Here is a 21,493-nt window from a genome sequence, read left to right on the forward strand (position 1 = left end):
TTGGTGTAGTATTAATATTTCTGTTCGGGAATTCTCATTCTCCTATGTATAAATACAGTCGCCCTATTTTTTATGATGTGTGTATCTTGACTGGCTTTTTATCCCATTCAAATTAACAAGTGCTTTGTGCTGTGTACCTCACGGTTTTCCTTCCTCATTTCCCTGGGGAATTTCAGAGTAACCATTGCTGTTTCTTATGGGAATGGTTATATACCTATGTACTAGTAGCCAAGTTCTCTATTCTCATTGCCAATATTTGTATAAAGAAAGGGAAGTTTTTATTTTATTTGACTTTCACTTATTCCTTCTCTGATGCACTTCCTTTTTTTACACAGATCTAAGTTTCTGATCTATATCATTTTCCTTTTCTCTAAAGAACTTTTAATATTTCTTGCAAGGCAAGTCTATTGGCAACAAATTCCCTCAATTTTTGTTTACCTGAGAAAGACTTTACTTCTTTCAACACTTTTGAAGAATAATTTCACAGGATCCAGAATCTATGTTGGTGTTTTTTGTTTGTTTGTTTTTCCTTTCAACACTTTCAATCTTTTACTCCACTCTCTTCTTTCTTGCATGGTTTCTGAGGAGAAGTCAGATGTAATTCTCATCTTTGCTCCCCTATAGGTGAGGTGTTTTTCCCATCTGGCTTCTTTCAGGCTGTTTGGCTTTATCTTTGGTTTTCTGTAGTTTGAAACTGACATACCTAGGTGTAGTTTTTCTGGTATTTATCTTGCTTCATGTTCTTGGAGCTTCCTGGATCTGTGGTTTGGTGTCTGACATTAATCTGGGGAGATTCTCAGTCATTATTGTTTCAAGAATTTCTTTTCTTCCTTTCCCTCTTTCTTTTCATTCTGGTATTTCCATTACGTCTATGTTACACCTTTTGTAGTTGTCTCTCAGTTCTTGGATATTCTGTTCTGGAATTTTCTGTCTTTTTTTCTCCTTGCCTTTCAGTTTTGAAGGTTTTTTATTCAGATATCCTCAGGCACAAAGATTCTTTCCTTGGCCCTGTCCAGCATGCATGTGTGGGGCAGGGGTATGGGCAAGGAAATCTCTGTACCTTCCACTCAGCTTTGATGTGAACCTAAAACTGCTCTAAAAAAATTTTTTTAAGTCTATTTTTTAAAAAAAGAAGACAAAAGGAACCCATGTGTATATTCTAAATTTCAAAGAAAAGGTATAGTCTTCTTATTCAACTTTGAGATTATAGTCATATATGAAAAGAAGTATTGATTGAGATTGCCAATTGTACATTATTTAACTCCATCACAATTGAAGATTTAAATACTTCATTATATTTTCTCTTATAATTCAAATTCAACTTTTATCCATATATAATCTTGATTTGAAATTTTCCTCCAGAATTATGCTAAATGTCAGCGCTTGCTTCTATAGATGCCTTTACTTAAAATAGGACATGGAAAAAAACAGGTGGATGCAACAGTCGTGGTAATGTTCTAGCTCTCTAGCTGATTTGAGTATTTATTTTATTATTATAGGCATTCATTTTATTATTACACCATGTAAAAGATAAAAAAGACAACATGAACTGCTTATATTATCAAATTTGCTCATCTATATATAGAGAGATTACAGGGCTGGTTTTCCCAGTTTTATTTGGCATTCTTTCATCTGAAAGTGAGTAAGAGAGAACGTTCTTTTGATTTTTATTCTCCCAAAGTGTCAGCTTCTGTTTGAGCAGTGGTAGTTAAACTCTTCTCTATTGTAAAATTTCTTGTGGAAATATTGGTAGGTAGGAATTGAGCTGGAGCAAGTGTTAAAGTCTTTTACATTTTCAGCTGCTCTGCCTTAAAACCTTCACTATTCTTTTTATTTCAGTTCCAGTAACATTTGGAAACTTTATTTTAATGAAGTTTCTTTGCCAGTCTGAGTTGAAAATATAGATTCTTTTGAGCATTATTTAACATTTTTCACTAAAATTAATGCCTTCTGTCTTTTCCTTTGTTTTCTTATTGCCTCTAATTTCTTACTTATGGCCTTTTCCTTTAAATGAAGAGGAAGACAGTGAAATAGAGAAGTGAAAAATATAACACAAGGCATCAGACTTACTCCAAAAGAGAATTCAGTTTGTTTGGTGTTAGAGGTTTGGGAGGGATTTGCTTTTGTTTAATGGAGTGGTGTTTAGAATAAATAACCATCAAAAGGTAAGGCTTCTGCCTCACACACACAAATGCAAAAAACACAACCCTTTCTTCATTTGTTTTGAGGAGTGCAATTTAATTTATTCTTGGCCTTGTATAAAAATTAGCTTAATTTTGAAATATGTTGGTTGGTATTTGGACTCCTTTAAACTCTCAAAGGCAATCTTTTATGGGTTTCTCATTAAGGAGGAAGGTTTCCTGCTTAGGGGTAGCCTTCTCCGGGCACTCAGCCTCACCATCTGCTGGATAGAGGGGAGAAGCTCTACACCTTTTACTACACCCTGCTGAGCTGCTCCTCATTTGTCTGCCAGCAGAAGTCCTCTGGGAAAGCTCCCAGACATCTTCTCCCTAAAAAGCTATAGTAATTCAGGGGCACACACAACATTTCTAGCCCTCTGCAGCTATCTGAGCCTCTCTGAGATCCATGACAGTCTTGGGGGTGTTTGCATGTGCCTGTCTGTGGAAAATAACACACCACCATGGAAGTGATTTCTCCTAAGTTTTAGCAACATATGCTATGGCACAGAAAAACAGTATGGAAGAAAATTCTAAAATCATATCTGATATCTGGAGAAATTGGTAGAAACCATCCTTCTTTCCTCCAACAAATAAAATGCCCAGTTCCAAATGAGAGTTGAGAAACAGAAATTATTTATTGGTAATTAGAAGTTGTGCTATTCTATTTATGCTGTGCTGTTCTTTTGTAATTGAGTTTGTAAATTAATAAAAGGCAAAGATGAATGCTATTACACATCATAGATATTACAATGTTTGCATCAAATTCTGCTTGATTTTTATGCAGATGTTGACATGTAGGAAGGACAGTTGAATATTCTGATTCTCTGTGTGTGTCATTGCTGACAAAGGGGATATAAAGAGGGGAATATTGGGGAAAAAAACATTTCAATTTGTTACCCCCCGGCAATTGAATGAAAAACACCCCTGTTGCTAGTCCCTCTCTTTTATAGTAGTGTTTTCATGCAGTAATCAATAAAATTTAATCTTCAAAAACTGTTTCAGAATGGAGGATGGGGAGGAGATAACTAGTAGTGAAGGGGATATTGGGACAGGCATGGTAGAATGGGGTAAAGTAGGATACGAGAAAAGGGGCTGTATCTTTTATGCCAGTTTTGGTGTTACAGCGTTATGACTGCACATTAGCAGACTTCACACTTACTGATGCTTCAGCTGTCAAAACCAAAAGTCCCCAGGACATATTATCAGGATGTGACATTTAAAAACAACTTTTCTTTCCAGAAGGGACTGTGTGTTGCTATGAGATGGTATTACCTAATGCATACCTTTCTACCTACTGAACCACTTTTTAAAGACACAGATATTAATGAGGGAATTATGAAAAGCCTTGGAAAAGTGTTTTTTAGGTTTTTTTTTTTTTTTTTTTTTTTTTTTTTGTGAATCCAAAAGGTCTGAGGGATAGTCTTGAGGAGCCTGGAAGTAGTTATAGAAACAAGGAGTTGGCCGGGTGCAGTGGTTCAGGCCTGTAATCCCTTTGCTAATGGAGTGTTGAAGGACAATGGCCACCTTTTTTCGTGTTTTGAAAGATTCTTGTTTGTTTCAAATCTTTTAAAAATGCTTCAGACCTTTTCTGTCTCCTGTGAACATATTATAAACATCTAAACACCATCTGAATGAAACAATGTTATGAGTGCAGCTCAGTGTTTTTTGACTTGGTCCCAGTTTTCCATTGCTATATGTTTTTATCATTAGTATTTGGGGCCTATCATTTTCCTATAAACAGTAAATGCCTAAAAAGGGATGTTGTTCAAATATGCATCATCTATTATTCTATACTAAAGAAGATATAATCTCTCCCTGAATTCTTTCTTTTTTTTTTTTTTTTTGAGGCAGAGTCTCGTTCTGTTGCCCAGGCTGGAGTGCAGTGGTGCAATCTCAGCTCATTGCAACCTCGCCTCCCGGAGTCAAGCGATTCTCCTGCCTCAGCCTTCTGAGTAGCTAGGATTACAGGCACGCACCACCACACCCCGCTAATTTTTGTATTTTTACTAGAGACGGGGTTTCACCATGTTGGTCAGGCTGGTCTTGAACTCCTGACCTCGTGGTCCGCCCACCTCGGCCTCCCAAAGTGCTGAGATTACAGGCCTGAGTCACCACGCCCGGCCTCCCCCCGAATTATTTCTACAGTGACATTTAATTGTTCATATTGAGTTTATTTCCTTTTTAAAATGTGAAAGGGGGCAATTTAGCAGTAATTATCAAAATTGGAAGTGCATTTACCCTTTGAGCCAGCAACTCCACTTTTAAGAATTTCTCCAGCACTTTGGGAGGCCGAGGCGGGCGGATCAAGAGGTCAGGAGATCGAGACCATCCCGGCTAAAACGGTGAAACCCCGTCTCTACTAAAAATACAAAAAATTAGCCGGGCGTAGTGGCGGGCGCCTGTAGTCCCAGCTACTTGGGAGGCTGAGGCAGGAGAATGGCGTGAACCCGGGAGGCGGAGCTTGCAGTGAGCCGAGATCCCGCCACTGCACTCCAGCCTGGGTGACAGAGCGAGACTCCGTCTCAAAAAAAAAAAAAGAATTTCTGCAGACATTTCAACATACATAGAAAACACTATGTGGACATGGTTATTCATTGCAGCATTATTTGTAATAGCAAAAGACTAGACATGAAAAAGTGTCTACAAAAGGGGTCTGGTTAAACAAATATATGCATACGGTGGAGTACTAGGTAGCTGAAAGGAAATAAAGGTATGAGGAAGCTCTGTAAATACTGGTATAGAATGATCTTCAATATGTTTGAGGGCTTTTATTTGAGAAGGGGGTCTCAGTTTTGCCCAGGCTGATCATAAACTCCTGAGCTCAAGCAATTCTACCACCTCAGACTTTCAAGTAGCTGGGACTACAGGCGTGAGCCACCATGCCCAGCTGAATATGTATTGTTGAGTAAAAAAGCAAGGGATAGAACAGGCCATGAAGTTTCTTTTGGGAAAGGAGTGAAATGAGATTATATGTTCATGTTTGCCTGTATTTGCATAACAGAACACTGGAAAAGATACTTAAGAAATTAACTACAGTGGTTAGCTTGTAGGGGCAAGAGAAATGGGTGTGGTGGAGGAGGAATACCAGAAGTAAATATGGGGAAAATATGAAGACTTTATAAACTTTATAAATTTTGATGATGCATACATGGTTATTTATATTAATCCAGATACATTTATATATGTTTAAAATGTTTCATAAGCAAGGCATAGGGGTACGTGCTATAGTCCTAGCTACTTAGGAGGCTGTGATGGGAGGATTGTTTGAGCCCAGGAGTTCAAGGCTGCAGTACGCTATGATCATGCCACTGCACTCCAGCTTGGGTGACAGAGTGAGACCCTGCCTCAAAAAACGATTTCATAATTTTAAAAATACATGAGGAAAAATGGGGAAAAACAGCAGTGGCATGTAAAAAGAATCTTTAAAAACAATGCTTTACTATTCACAATAGCAAAGACATGGAATCATCCTAAAGGGCCATCAATGACAGATTGGATAAAGAAAATGTGCTACCTATACACCATGGAATACTATGCAGCCGTAAAAAAGAATGAGATAATGTCTTTTGCAGGAACATGGATGGAGCTGGAGGCCATTATCCTTAGCAAACTAACGCAGGAACAGAAGACCAAATTCTGCATGTTCTCATAAGTGGGAGCTAAATGATGAGAACACATGGACATATGGAAGGGAACAACACACACTGGGGCCTACTTGAGGGTGAAGGGTAGGAGGAGAGAGAAGATCAGAAAACATAACTATTGGGTACTAGGCTTAGTGCCTGGGTGATGGAATAATCTATATAACACCCCCAGTCCATGACACAAGCTTACCTATATAACAAACCTGCATGTGTACCCCTAAAATTAAAGTTAAAAAAAAAACCAGTGCTTTATCCCCAGCTAAGCACAGTGTTCAATAAGAATATGATGAAGATCTACAATTCAAATATTTGAAATTTTAATTTAATAGACCTAATTTGCAGAATATATTGATGTATTTTGTTTCTTTTTTGGGGGATATGGGGGTGTTTGATTAGAACTTTCTTATGATGGACTTTGTCTCATAGTATTGCGCACTAAACAATAATGGATGGAGAGGTTGATGGGTTAGTAAGGGGTTTAAGAAATATGGTAACTTTTATTTTGTGGTGCTGGTAGTCTGAGTATATTTTGTATTCTTATACACTTGACTCGGGTCCAGTTGATAACTGGCAGAGTTTTATAACACTGCACCGAGAAGAGCCCATGCAACATGTGTCATAACAGTTCGTTAAAGAATAGCATCAACAAAAAAATTAGTTCTTAGAATTTTTTATTTTCCAACTAATAGTTGTCACTTTCTCCATTTATCCAAAGCATACCAATCTTTCAAGGTCATCTGAAGTCCCACTGTACTACTAAGCCTTCTGGCTGACTTCAGACCCCATTCATGTGAGCTTTTTGTATCCAAAATGCCTCTACAGCCTCGGTGGCCCAATATGATCTGAATTTTATACCATCTGCTCTTCACTCACAAGGCTCTGGCTATACTCTCTTGTATTCTTTAAAAACCCAAACTCATTCCTCCTCTCAAGGATTTTGCATTCATTTTTCCTTTGGAGCTATATATTCTTCTCCTAGCTCTTTGCATGGTTAATTATTTCTTATCATTTAGGTCTTGGTTTGAATGTCACTTGCTCATAGAGGCTGTCTCTGACTTAAATGGGGACTTTCCATCACACTCTCACATTACCCAGTTTTATTTCCTTCAGAACCCTTATAACTATATGAGAATATCTTGTTTGATTTGCTTACTTGCTTACTCCCTGTCTCCCTCCTCTGCCTCTCCCACCTCATTGCACAGTGCTCCTTACTTGCAAATTAAAAGCACAGGCTCTGGAGAGAGATGCCTGGGTTTAGTAGCTGTGCTGCTCACTACATTTGTGACAGTGAACACATTGTTTATTCTGTATTTACCTCACTTTCCTCATTAATAGTCCTGTATCATAAAGGTAATATAAAGGCTAAGTGAGAAAATACTCGTCAAGTGCCTAGAATGGTGGTTGGCACTCAGTAGGCACTCAAATATTTTTTGAGTGAATGAATGATGCTCTGACTTTGTTTAATAGTTTTTCTTGCATCTGAGCCTCCCCAGCAAGATTATAAACTCTTAGGCCTTCCAAGACCTTGCAGAGCTCCAACTATAATTTAACAAGGTTGAAGGCACATAGGTGATTAGTGAATACTGCTTAAAATACTGAACTTACTGTAGATTTCTCAGAAACTTGTTTTGCATTCCTGAATCTCTCTGTGTTAGGGCAAAATCATCTAAGAAGGACATCATGTCACTTGCGAATTCCAGTTTCATCAGCCTACCCATCCCACGCAGTTAAGCTTCCTTGTTTGTGGTTAGGAATGCAACAAAAGGGCTTTGTTTGAATTACACCCACACACAAAACTTAGTTTGCTAAATTTTAAAATTAAACCATCTTCTGACTTACTGATATGCTCATGATGTGATGTACTTTAGGAAAATATTTCTTTAAGTTCTTAAAGATCAAAGTGATCCCAAAATGTAAAATTAGTATGCCATGCTCTTTAGGAATGCTTATTAAATGTTTCGCATCATTGAGAAAGTCAGCTGTTTAACTGAAAAAATAGCTGTTTAATTTTTTTTTTTTAACTCTCAAGCTACAGTGAATTGTATTTTCAAAATGAAAGACTATTTTAAAAATACTTTGCTTTTCAATAGGTAATACATGCGTATAGTATAAAATTTGAAAAGTTACAAAATGAAATACAGTGAAAATAAGTTTTCCTTCCCAGAGGCAGTCATTGTATCTAGTTTCTTAAGTGTCCTTCCAAAACTACTCTTTACGTTAATATACACACATGTGATTTTCCCCACATACTGTAGCAGACTGTACATGTAATTCTGCATCTTTCCAGTGTAACAATATATTTGGAGATATTTCCATATCAGTATGTATAGAGATACTTCATCCTTTTTAACAGCCATTATATGGATATACCACACTGAGTTAACTAGTCTGCTGCTAATGGGCATTTAGGTTGTCTTCCAATCTTTTGATGGGTATGTTATTTTAAAAATCATTTGCTAGATGTTGTCAAACTGGCCTTCATTCAGGTTGTACTGATATACACTGGTGGGCTATTTTTGGTCATCCTTTTCAATTCTTCGCTTATTTCATCACTTACCTCCTATCTGTACGGTATGGAAGAATCTTATAAAACAAAGATTTATCTCCGAAGCCCTCTCCCAACATATCTTCTGCATCTAAAAGAAAAGTTGTTTTTTGTTTTTTTTTCCTCGTGTTTTTGTTTTTTTCAGGGCCTTTTGATTTGCTTCCCCCTCCCCACCCCCACCGCCAAAATCATCCTGTCATCTTGTTCTTAATCTATTAGAACTGTGATGAAACCTGATACTCTGCCCAGGGCAAATAAATAGTTACCTCTCCAACCTCCTCCAAAGTAAAAGCTCCAAAGTTGAGTTTGCTGTCTTTGTATTGCAGGTATTGGACCTACTTTCTAAAGCACTTATTTTATCTGTACTGTAGGAATTATTTCATTTGCTCTTTCCTGCAGAATGTAAGCTCCTTAAAGGCAGAGACAATATCTTAGTCATTATTTCTTTAAAATATCTCTTTAAAATTTGTTTAATTTTTTATTTTCTTAAATGGACATTTAATTGTACATATTTATGGGGTACATAATGATGTTTCAGTACAAATAATGTATAGTGATGAGATAAGGATAATTAAATATTTTTAAATATCAGTTTCAACTCTTCTAGTCCTCATGTACCACATCCCTGGAGCCCGATCCCGTGTGTCACCTCCCTCACTTCTCCCTCTTCCAGGTTAGGTTCATCATGAAAACAGAGGACATTGGGTACGAGGTCCCCTCAACTTTTCGTGCTACCTACTTGCTTTCACATTTGCCAGCATCCACCTTTCTTCTATCTCAACAGCACTGGCTTTCCTCCTCCATAAGCTCATACCCTTCACCTGAGTGTTTGAATCCCATCCCTTCCTGAGTCTTTAAGGAGTCCTCCTCCTGTGTCCTGTGTCTTCAGATGGGCCTCTGCACGCTCTCTGCCTTATAGACACTTGCTTGAACTTCTCATTTAAAACAAAAACATTAGGAACAAAACCTTTTCACTCCCTGGATCCCTTCAGTCTTCTAGCTACCACCCTCTTCTCCCCTTTAGAAACAGGTTTTTGAAGGAATCATCTGCCCATACTGCCTGTCTTATCCCTTGTTCACCTTTAGCCCCATCCTAAAGCATGCCATTGCAAGGACTTGCTAGTTGCCAAATCCAGTGGCCATGCATCTACCCTCATCACACTAACCTCTTTACAGCATTGCAGTGGTTGACAGTTTCCTCCTCCTCCTCACTCTCCCCACTAGAAATCTGTGAGACTCCCATACTTAACTTGTTTTCCTCCTCCTTCTGTGGAAGCTCCTCTTGGGCTTTTTCCCAGGCTCCCTCTCCCCTAAATTTTGATCATTCTCAGAGACTCATCCTTAAATCATTTCCTTTGTCTCCCTGTTCATTCTCCTCAAGTCACTTATCTTCTCTCAAAGGCCCTGTGTTTTGTGACTTGTAAATTTCTATATGCAGCCCAGCCCTCAGTCCTCTAGTCCTTCTCCACTGAAAGTCCCACAGGCACTCATTCGCATGCCCCAGAATGAGCCATCAGCATCCTGCTTATTTCCTCTTCTCTCTCTCCACTCCCATCCCCTCCATCTAAAAAAAAAAAAAAAAAAAAAATTTAAGAGACTGTCTCTCTGGAAGCTGCAATGCAGTGGCACACAGTCATTGCTCGCTACAGCTTCAAACTCCTGGGTTCAAGTGATTCTCCTGCTTCAGCCTCTGAGTAGTGGGGACTACAGGTGGATGCCACCACACCCAGCTAATTAAAAAAAAAATTGAGCCCCCTGCCTCAGCCTCCCAAGTAACTCAGCTTATAGGCACAAGCAAACTAGAGGGCCTATCTGGAACCCCTGAAGTTATCAGTAAACGTTGTCTCACACCTCATCTCCTTGACAGGAAGACATCTTTTTTCCTGTGGAGCCTGTGGAATTTATCACTTTCTATTTCTCTTGGGTGGGAAAATCTTCTCGGCATCTAGCTAGGCATGGACAGATACTGTTGGGTGATGATGCCACTGAAGAGCCGTCCTTAGTGTCACGTGGTGCTGGTCTGAGGTCACGGTCCATTGGTGTCCATTGGCTTCTCAAGGCCAATACCCAGTCCCGGGGCTAATTTCTACTACTGAGAGTGATTCTGCCAACTCCCTTCACTAAGTAGTGGGAATGAGCAGTAGGAAGATGACAGTTTGTTCTTTCTCTTCTTTCTCCTAATGTATTTTGGGCCCACTGGGGTCTAAAATGATACATACATGAAACACCTCTAGGTATCTCATGCAAAAGAGACTTTATTTTTTCTTTGAGGCTGGGCTTTTGCTATGTGATTAAGCAGTGGCATTTGTTGAGTACCTGAAGTCATATATAACTGGGTTTAAACCCTTACTCCCAGACTTACTAGCTGTGTGATTTGGGCCAGCCCCTGAAGGGTTTAGAGCACTAGGAAGGATTTCTAATCATTGGATGGAACAAGGTGATAAACCAGGAATCTAAGTCAGTGAGGCAGCCTACCTTCAAGGAACCGGTTGAAGATGCAGCAGCCTAATTTCTGGGGACTTTGGTGTCCAAAATTAGAGAAGGACTAGCAGCAAGAATACTGAACTGCTAAGATGCTGAGCCATGAACCCTCAGGCTCCCTGCCTACCTGCACTGAGAAAAAGGTTGATTCGGCCGGGCACGGTGGCTCACGCCTGTAATTCCAGCACCTTGGGAGGCCAAAGTGGGCAGATCACAAGGTCAGGAGTTCAAGACCAGCCTGGCCAATATGGTGAAAGCCTGTCTCTACTAAAAATACAAAAAATTAGCCAGGCATGGTGGCACAGCCTGTAATCCCAGCTACTTGGGAGGCTGAGGCAGGAGAACTGCTTGAACCCAGGAGGTGGAAGTTGCAGTGAGCCAAGATTGTGCCATTGCACTCCAGCCTGGGCGATAGAGCAAGACTCCATCTCAAAAAAAAAGGTTGATTCAACTTTAGAAGGCCAAGGTGGGCGGATCACTTGAGGCCAGGAGTTTGAGACCAGCCTGGCTGACATGGTGAAACCCCGTCTCTACCAAAAAAAAAAGAAATGCAAGAAAAATAATAATTAGCCAGTCATGGTGGCGTGTGCCTGTAGTCCCAGCCTCCTACTCAGGATGCTGAGGTACAAGAATCACTTGAACCTGGGAGGCAGAGGTTGCAGTGAGCCAAGATTGCGCCACTGCACTCCAACCTGGGCAGCAGTGCTGAACTTCAAGGTTTAGTGGTTACATGGGACCTGTTATTGAAGATTAGAGAGGTATGGTGATATGGTTTGGCTGTGTCCCCAACAAAATCTCATCTTTAATTCCCACGTGTTGTGGGAGGGACCCGGTGGGAGGTAATTGAATGATGGAGGCAAGTCTTTCCCATGCTGTTCTCATGATAGTGAATAAGTCTCATGAGATCTAGGTTTTAAAAAGAGGAGTTCCCCTGCAAATGCTCTCTCTCTCTTTGCCTGCTTCCATCCATGTAAGATGTGACTTGCTGCTCCTTGCCTTCTGCCATGATTGTGAGGCCTCTCCCTAAGCCATGTGGAAGTGTGAGTCCATTAGACCTCTTTCTTTTGTAAATTGCCCAGTCTCAGGTATGTCTTTATCAGCAGCGTGAGAATGAACTAATACATGTGGGGACAAGGAGGCAAACAAATTGTCATATGTTGGTTCTGCTGTTGATGTCTTGATTTTGCATCTACTTCATCTCCTTAGCCCAAGCTGTGCACCTGCTCCCTTTTGTTCCTTTATAGTTTCCAGGTGGGTGAGGTCTGTTTCTTTTTGGCCTATGTTTACCCCCGTGATTTCAGGTCACAGCCACTGCTCTGATGGCTCCCTTCCTCACCACCATGGCCAGGGTCCGAAAGGCTGTGACCATGGTAAGTCTCAGGCCAGGCTCTGTCATAATTATTGACTCAATACCTCACTGGGGAGCTCGGGGCAATACCTCACTGGGGAGCTCGGGGCTGGGCGCCTCATCAGCACCAGCAGTTCCTGCCCATTCTTGTCTCCCTCATCATTTACCATCCTTCTTTTTAAAGATCTCTGAAGGCTTGTCTCCCTACCCTGTCTACTATTCATCAACTTATTAGTAATGAATGATGGTAATAAGACTTAACATTTATTGAGCTCTTACTATGGGCCAGGTGTGTTTTCTCATTTTTAATCTCACAAAACTCCGTCAATAGGTTCTACTATAATCTGCCCTTCATTGATAAGGAAACTCAGGGTGATTACGAAATTTACCTGAGATCTAAAAGCTAAAACCAGTGGTATTCAGTTTAAATCTGGATTAGAACCCAGGTTTTTCTTATCTCAGAGCTGGTACCCTTAGCTACATTCCAGCCTCTCTCCCTCTCTTGAGAGGGAGTTGAATTTTTCTCACTTTTCCTGACCTATTTGGCAACTCAAGCATTAGTCCACCTGACTACAGACTCCTTCAATTCAGTAAATCTTTGTTGACTGACTGTTTGAAAAAAAAAAATTTGTGTATTTGTTTCCCTTGCTTCACACAAGAACATTTTCCTATCACCCTAATCTCTAAGGAGTTGAAGTATATGTTTGTGTTTTGTTTTGTTTTTAAGTCATCATCTATTTTGGGAAGCTCTTCAGTGTCTGCTATATTTTTAAAGTTATTTTAGATTAAGATGCAGTTAATCCAGCCTCTGATTAATCTTCTGACTTTCTAGATGAGCAAAGGCTTAGCTAAGAAGGGGAAGTAACTCACATAAGGTCAGACAGCAAGTTAATAACGAAGTCAGGGCAAGAGCCCAGGTCTCCTGACACCTGGTCTAGTATTTTTCTGATGTCCTAATACATTAAATTTTATTAGCTTCAGGGGAATTATTTTTCATTTATATTACAAAAACTAATTTATTTTTTCACAGAAAAGAGATAGGTGCATTTTTAGCTACAAGGCCAAGTACAATGAGTTGGAATAATTTACAGCTATTATTTTCACCATATCCAGATGGATTCCTGGATCCCATAAAAGTGTTTCTAAACTGCAGAAAAATCCCCCTACAGTCTTACAGTTCAAGAATTTTCAGCATGAAATGCCTGGTAGATTACCTGACTTTTTTTGCCAAAAATAAGGCACAGCAGCTCTCTCCTGACTCTGACTTTCTATAGTCCTTACTGAATTATAGTCCTTACTGAATTCATTCTTCAGTGTTGCAGTCTGAAGGACACCCACATTTTCTCTTTGTCTTTGTCAATTCTTTGTGTTGTAAGGGCAGGATGTTTAAAAGTTGAAGTCATTGACTTGCAAAATGAGAAATTTCAGAGGGCATTTTGTTCTCTAGACCATGTAGCTTAGAGCAGTGTTCACACTGAGGTTGCTGCTAATGTTTCTGCAGTTCTTACCAATAGTATCATTTACCCAGCAACAGGATATGATAGAGGACTTCGAAAACCCCAGAAAATGTTTTGCCATATATCCAAAGCCCTTTGGGAAATGGAAAGGAATTGCGGGCTCCCATTTTTATATATGGATAGATAGAGACCAAGAAAGACCAAGGCAACTCCATGTGCTTTACATTAATAAAGTACAAAATGTTAACATGTAGGAAGTCTAGGCGAAGTTTATGTGAGAATTCTTTACACTAATTTTGCAACATTTTAATGCAAGTCTGAAATTATGTCAAAATAAGTAAAAATTTTTACAAGTTAAGCAGAGAATAACAATGATTAGTCAGAGAAATAAGTAGCAAAATCTTCTTCTCAGTATTGACTTGGTTGCTTTTCAATCTCTGAGGACACAGCAGTCTTCGCTTCCAAATCCACAAGTCACATCAGTGAGGAGACTCAGCTGAGACTTTGGCTAATGTTGGGGGGTCCCTCCTGTGTCTCCCCAGGCGCAGTGAGCCTGCAGGCCGACCTCACTCGTGGCACACAACTAAATCTGGGGAGAAGCAACCCGATGCCAGCATGATGCAGATATCTCAGGGTATGATCGGCCCTCCTTGGCACCAAAGCTACCATTCCAGGTAAGTGGCTATAGCTGAGACTGAAGGGTTTCTTTCTTTCTAATGTCATGTTCCCAGAAAAGAATGTTTTCTTCTCTGTTTTGAGAATGTTTTTTCTTATACTCACACTAAATATTAAATCTCTATCCACTGCTTTTCTCATCCTCTTATAGTGCTTGACGTGTATATGAGTTACCTTTATATGCTTGGCTAGATCAACTTGAAGATCAGAATTATTTGAAGCACTGGCTGGCCATTTGAGATATTTATGGGGTCCATCAATTCTCAGACATTTCTCCACTGATAGCACTATATTAGAAAAATTGAGATTTTTCTTCCTTCAGTGCTTAAGTGTGCTTTCTGCCTTAGTCAAAACCGTATCCATTTTTATTCCTGTGTTTGAACTCCCCATTTGGTTTTGCTCTTTCAATTAAGGTAATTTGTCCATCTTAGCTCCAACGGCACAACTAATGTACTGAGGACCACTCAGTGTATACATTATCTCATGTAGTGACTCATAGACTTCTTTAAAACAGATACAGTAGTATTAACCCCATTTTGCAGAATAGGAAATTGAAGCTTGCGGCTGGGTGCAGTGGCTTATGCCTGTAATCCCAGCACTTTGGGAGGCCAAGGAGGGCGGATCACCTGAGGTCAGGAGTTCAAGACCAGCCTGGCCAACACGGTGAAACCCTGTCTCTACTAAAAATACAAAAATTAGCCAGGTGTGGTGGCATGAACCTGTAATCCCAGCTACTCGGGAGGCTGAGGCAGAAGAATCGCTTGAACCCGGGAGGTGGAGGTTGCAGTGAGCTCAGATCACGCCACTGCACTCCAACCTGGGTGACAGAGTAAGACTTCATCTCAAAAAAAAAACAAACAAACAAACAAACAGAAATTTAAGCTTGGAAAGATTAGTTTGTCCAAGCTCAAACAACTGATCAGTACCCAAGTCAAGACAAATCCAAGCCAGGTTTCAAAGCTGCTGCATGTAATCAGTAGGTTATACTTCCTCTGCTTTTCTAGCTACTGTTTGTTGTATGGGTCAAGGTTTGGTCAGGAAGAAGGAGAGCCCTCACAAGTGGTTTAGGAGAGGGGTTATAGAACGAGGGAGCACAGCCTGACCACCATCACACATTAGAGAGAGAACTAAGCCAGGACTCCCCTCCACTTCAGACTTGGAACCCCTACAAACTGGAATCTATCTTCTGATCCCAGGGAGTTAGACTCCGTAGCTTATCACTTTTGGGAAATGCTTAGATAGCGCTAATGTAGCGAGGTCAGGAAAATAAGGGTCACTTAGTCCTTACATACAAAGGAGACGCAAGTGTTGGTATGTGTGTGCATGTGTGTTGGGGGGAGGAGGGGAGGCTGGAAGCTTCTGGAAGGATTACTTAATGAACAGATGGTAGCTATGCATTTGGCAAGGCCAGAACTCAGTCACAGCCCTTAATACTCATGTCTGGTCAAGTCAAGGGCCAAATCCTAGACCTCTCACTGATGAACAGTAGCTCATGGAATTGAACAGGACAAACCTCTCTCAGCATATCAGGGTAGGATTCAGGCCACAGGAAGAGATAATGTCCTGGTTCCTTCCTGGTTACAGATGCTCCTCTCCCTTGCCCATGTCCTTCCCAATCACCCTGAAAGAAATTATTCTCACCGTCTGAGCCATCTGTTCTCAGAGAGCAGGTTTCCTAGCAGTGTCTCCTGACCCTTGACAAAGCCAGACTACTTTTGCTTTACAGGCATGGAGGTGTTGAGGGCCTTTAGAAGGTAAGGTGTGTGGAGCCTAACAATGAAGGAAGAATAGCATAGTGGTAAGGGACTGGGCCTTTAAGTCAGACCTAGGTTTAAATCTCCCCTTACCCCTACGGTGTAAGCTTGAGCAAATCATTTAACCTTTGATCTTGGCTTCCTTTTCTGTAAAATAACTAGTACCTACATCATTGGATTGTTGTGAGGATTATATAAAATAGCATATGTGCAATTCTTAGTACATAGTAAGCACTCAATGAATGATGACTGATTATAATAATTAAGCTGAAGACTTCAGGACACCATGAAACCTGGTACTGAACTTGAGGGTGAATGGCCAGCACACACTTATAAATGCAGGTGGGTATGTATTAACAGAGTGCCCTTCAACAGTGGGGTCCTTTGAGCATCCTTACTCCTAACCTTCTTATGAAGCCCTAAATCCAAAGCCACACTGTGACTTAAAAAATGTGCTGGCCCTTCAGCAGAGATAAGCACTGCAATCAGTACTTAGAATGACTGCTTACAGTAACTATGGTGAGCTCCAGTAGGCCTCAGGGGAATGGGGCCGTCAGCACCAGAAGTACAGTATTTTCAAGGCTTTGCTTCTGCACCTCCTCCTTCCTCCTCTGCATCCCAGCCTCCAGAGGGGCTTAGGCAGGTGGATCTGCCCTTGTGCTGTATCTACCACTCTGTCTCTCTGATTGAAGCTTCAAAATTGTTCCTCCTGACATAAGGACCATCAGCACAAAAGCACTGCATGGGGACAAAAGGAGAAAGGAAAGTTCAAATAACTCAAAATGTTACAGGCGTGTGCATTCTCTCCTGCTGCAGCACAAACCACCCTGTGGTGCAGCACAAACAAACCATGCCTGAGGCTTGCAGCTTTGGCAGAGGGCTTGACCCCCATGCTGAGTTCCACCTGTGGGATCTGATCTTGGCAGCGGCAGGTGGAGAGGTGCCCCAGGTGTGTTTCTGAGGAGCACAGTGGCATCTAGTGGTCCAGTGTGCCACATCAGTTGGCTGGTATCTCTCTGACAGCCTTAGTTTAAGTTCCAGAAACCAATCTCAGTCCTGAATTTATGGATCTGTTTCTTGTTAAGAAGCAGGCGTAAGAGGGGGTGAGAGGATGAGGGAGAGACAGGAGTGAGGTGAGAGAGAGAGAGAAAGAGAAGTATGGAGAGACTGAAGATGTGTAATTTAACTGTGAGCTAGGTTGGATTTGGAATTTCACTGAAATTGTATTTCAGCTGCTTTCTGTCAGACCCTTGACACTCTGTTTTTGCTGCCCTATGGAAATCTCACCCAGTGGTTCTAAAGTACTAAAGTACTTTAGAAGAGACTGAAAAGTTATGTAGTCTAGCCCCCTGACAAGAGGCTGAAATAGCAGTATCAAATCAGTGATTCATTCATTCAACAAATCTGTATGAGCATCCACTATGTCTCAGATGCTTTGTAGGTATTGGGAGTACAGTGGTGAACAAGGCATAAAAAGCCCCCTGCACCACAATTATTTGTTTCCCAAAATGTGTTCCGTGGAATAACAATCCACTAGATACTTCTTAGAAAAAAAAGTTTCTGAGATCAAGTAAGTTTAGAAAACATCTCTTAGTTAAATTATATATTTCTCTTTTAGAACAACACATGAAAAATGGTTTGGGAGAACAATAGTTTATAAAAGACTCAGAAATCTTGCAGTAAATAAAATTGTTTAGCTTATTTAGCTCAATATTTTCCAAACATATTTAATCATCTAAGGAATTAGTGTTCTGTGAGCACACTTTAGGAAATGTTTTCATACACTTATTTTGTGCTCTATGTTTTAAATATTTTAAAAATACTTTTTTTTTTTTTTTTGAGATGGGTCTCACTGTGTTGCCCAGGCTGGGGTGCAGTGATGCGATCAAGGCTAACTCCAACATTGACATTCTGGGCTCAAGCGATCCTCCCGCCTCAGCCTCCCAAAGTGCTGGGATTACAGGCGTGAGCCACCGTACCTGGTAGATACCTGTGTTTAAAAGTATTTTAAACACACAAAATAGAATGATATTATAAAAATACATACATCTACCACAGAATTAAAAAGCATTTTATGTTCACTTCAGTTCTTTAAATATTATAGATACAGTCAAAGTCTCTTTCACATAACCAAAGGGATATGATATAATGTCAAGTAGTGGTAAGTGCTGTGAAGAAAATAAAGCAGGGTAACAGGCATAAAGGAGAGAAGAGATGCTCTTTAGTTAGTTCCAGGAGGTCCTCTCTGAATGAAGTAAGAGGGAGTAAGCCAGGTGAAGAGCACTCCGGGTGGTGGGAGCAGTGAGTACAAAGACTCTGAGACCCTGAGATGGGAATAAATTTCCTGGGTTTGAGTTTCAACAGGGAAACTATTATGCTGGAGTGCAGGGAGCAAGAAGAAGAGCAATAGAAAATGAGGCTGGAGAAGTAGCCAGACCATGGTAAGAACTTTGATCCACTCAAGATGCACCCCTCTTGAGAGTAAGGCTGGCTTTATGTGAGTTGGAATTGTTGCAGGATTGAAAACCTTCATTCCAAGTTTTCTTACCCATCATTAAAAGTGCCATTTTGGTGGCATCAATGGCAAAGGTAATAAAAATGAGTATTTCCAGACAGCAGTGGAAGAACTTGTCCTAGTGAGTGATATCAGTGCCTGTATTCCCCAGGCAGCTTGGGAATGGTAATTCTGAAGGGACAGAACCCTCTCCGGGCAGGAGGGAAAATACCTAACAGAGGCCTTCCATGACCTTTCTACCTTAGGTTTGCTACAGGAAGGAACCCACTATACCCTTGCACTGGTCTGATTAGAGATATGTGTAACAGGGATTTCATATTTATAGATACCATCTATATTTTAAGATATGTTAGGCTGGGCACGGTGGCTCACGCCTGTAATCCCAGCACTTTGGGAGGCCAAGGAGGGTGGATCATTTGAGGTCAGGAGTTTGAGACGTGCCTGGCCAACATGGTGAAACCCCGTCTCTACTAAAAATACAAAAATTAGCTGGGCATGGTGGTACCTGCCTGTAATCCCAGCTACTCGGGAGGCTGAGGCAGGAGAATTGCTTGAACCCGGGAGGCGGTGGTTGCAGTGAGCCGAGATTGCGCCACTGCACTCCGTCCTGGGCGACAGACCGAGACTCTATCTTAAAAAAAAAAAAAAAAAAAAAAAAAAAAAATATATATATATATATATATATATATATATATATATTTTAGTGATGGTATCTTCCCCACTCGATAGTGTTTCAGTTAACCATCAGTTTATTTACTTTGATTTGTTGTGTGTGTTCCTATGTTAGATTTGAATTATCCTTTCAATGAAAGACTGCTAAAATTCTCAGCAGTTGGGAGGAGGATTACCTAATGTCTCCTACCTTCATAGAAATGGTGAATGAAACGGCCCTTATGGGGTTCCATTTCCCCTGGAAGTATTAGCTCTAAAAAGGAAGCAGACTGGGTCATACAGGATTATCCACAAGGCTGTCTAGCGCTTCTTTAGTAGGACCTCTTTATTTAGAGGGGAATGAAGAAATTCAGGGTAGGGGGTAAAATCTTTGACATATGCTATGCCATTGAGTGCCGGGTCTGATTTCCCTGATCTGGCTGGCTTGGGAGCTATTTCCTTCCTTTCTCCCTTGAATTTATACCTATCTGTCCCGAAGTAGGATGCGCCATTCAGTCAACTGACTTTCTCTGATAGAGAAAAATTACATTCTTGAGGAGAGCTGCTGAAAGTGTAGTCTCCTTTTCCTTAAATTCCAGCACAAGTTTTGACTCCGAATATGGTTTTTCTAGTCTCAACATATTATCTGGAGATATTCCAGCCATAAAGCATTATCACATACTTGACCAATAAGACACTACATTTATTTACATGTAATCTAGAAATAGAAGAATACATCATGAATTTTAATAGTGTTGAAACGCCTATCCATTTAAAAATAGAAAATCTTGGGCAAGAACTTCTAGTGATTTACCCTTCTTTAGAGAACAGTGAGTCACAAACATTTAAACCACTTATTCCTTCATATATGCCCTCCCCGTGTGTGTATATATATAGAGACAGAGACAGACATTTTTTAGAGCAGTTTTAGTTTCATAGTGAAATTGAACAAAGTCCAGAGATTTCCCATATAGTCCCTGTCCCCATACATGCACAGCCTCCTCCATTTTCAGCAACCCCCACCAGAGTAGTACATTTGTTACAACTGATAAACCTACATTGACACATCATAATCACCCAAAGTCCATAGTTTATATTAGGGTTCACTGTTGCTGTTGTGCATTTTGTAGGTTTGGACAAATGTATAATGACATGTATCCATCATTATAGTATCGTACAGAATACTTTCACTGTCCTAAAAATCCTCTGTGCTCGCCCATTCCTCCTTGCATCGCCCCTAAGACCTGGCAACCACTGATCTTTTTATTGTGTCCATTGTTCTGCCTTTTCCAGAATGTCAGTCATGTAGTTGGAATCATATGGTTTGTAGCCTTTTCAGACTGGCTTTTTTCATCTAGTGAAATGCATTTTAGTTTCTTTCATATTTTTTTCATGGCTTGACAGCTCTTTTTTTTTTTTTTAAGTAATGAATAACATTCCATTGTGTAGATATACCACAGTTTATTCACCTACTGCAGAACAGCCTTGTTGCTTCCATGTTTTGGCAATTATGAATAAAACTGCTGTAAACATCCGTGTGTGGGTTTTTGTGTGGACGTGAGTTTTCAGTTCCAGTGGATAAATGCCAGGGAATGTGATCACTGGATCTTATGGTAAGAGTATGTTTAATTTTGTAAGAAACTGCCAAACTTCTTTTAAAAGTGGCTGTGCCATTTTGCATTACCACCTGCAATGAATGAGAGTTTCTCTTGCTCCCCATCCTCACCAGCATTTGGTATTGTCAATGTTCTGGATTTTGGCCGTTCTAATAGGTGTGTAGTGGTATCTTGGTTTTGTTTGGTTGTTTTTTGTTTTTGCCTATGACAGAGCCCTCAGGACGTCCTGAGAACATGTTCCCTAGTATCTTGTTGTTTTAATTTGTAATTTCCTAGTGACTTATGATGACAGCCTTTTCATTTGCTTTTTCACCATCTGTATATCTTCTTAGGATTGGCCAGTTTTTAAATCAGGTTGTTTTCTTATTGTTGAGTTTTAAGTGATTTTTTAAAAACACATATATTTTGAGTTTCTAAGTAATTTTATTTTGAGACAGCTTTCTGGAGTTTACAGTGATTGATAGTCTTTTTCCTCTTCTCCAGACGGGCTCTGAAAACCATCTGGAGGAGCTTGTAAATGAGAAAATCTTGCCCTCCTAAATGTATGAGGAGGCTTTGCTTTGGCTTTTGGAAGTCATCCACAGGTGTTGGAATCCCAGCACCGAAGAGCCCCTGTGATTAAGCCTT

The 21,493-nt window shown here is 40.4% G+C and overlaps 1 protein-coding gene and 1 long non-coding RNA gene across 3 annotated transcripts in view; one reads left to right on the forward strand and one right to left on the reverse strand.

Moving 5' to 3' along the window:
- SHROOM3 (shroom family member 3) overlaps positions 1-21,493 on the forward strand; it is a 348,025-nt gene that overhangs the window by 281,378 nt on the left and 45,154 nt on the right. Inside the window, exon 4 of the mRNA NM_020859.4 lies at positions 14,198-14,329. Within this exon, the coding sequence (NP_065910.3) occupies positions 14,198-14,329 (132 nt within the window). The remainder of the gene's footprint in view (positions 1-14,197; positions 14,330-21,493) is intronic.
- SHROOM3-AS1 (SHROOM3 antisense RNA 1) overlaps positions 1-21,493 on the reverse strand; it is a 92,558-nt gene that overhangs the window by 6,701 nt on the left and 64,364 nt on the right. The gene's annotated exons all lie outside the window — the stretch shown is intronic.

Source organism: Homo sapiens, chromosome 4, assembly GCF_000001405.40.
Source record: "Homo sapiens chromosome 4, GRCh38.p14 Primary Assembly".
NCBI lineage: Eukaryota > Metazoa > Chordata > Mammalia > Primates > Hominidae > Homo > Homo sapiens.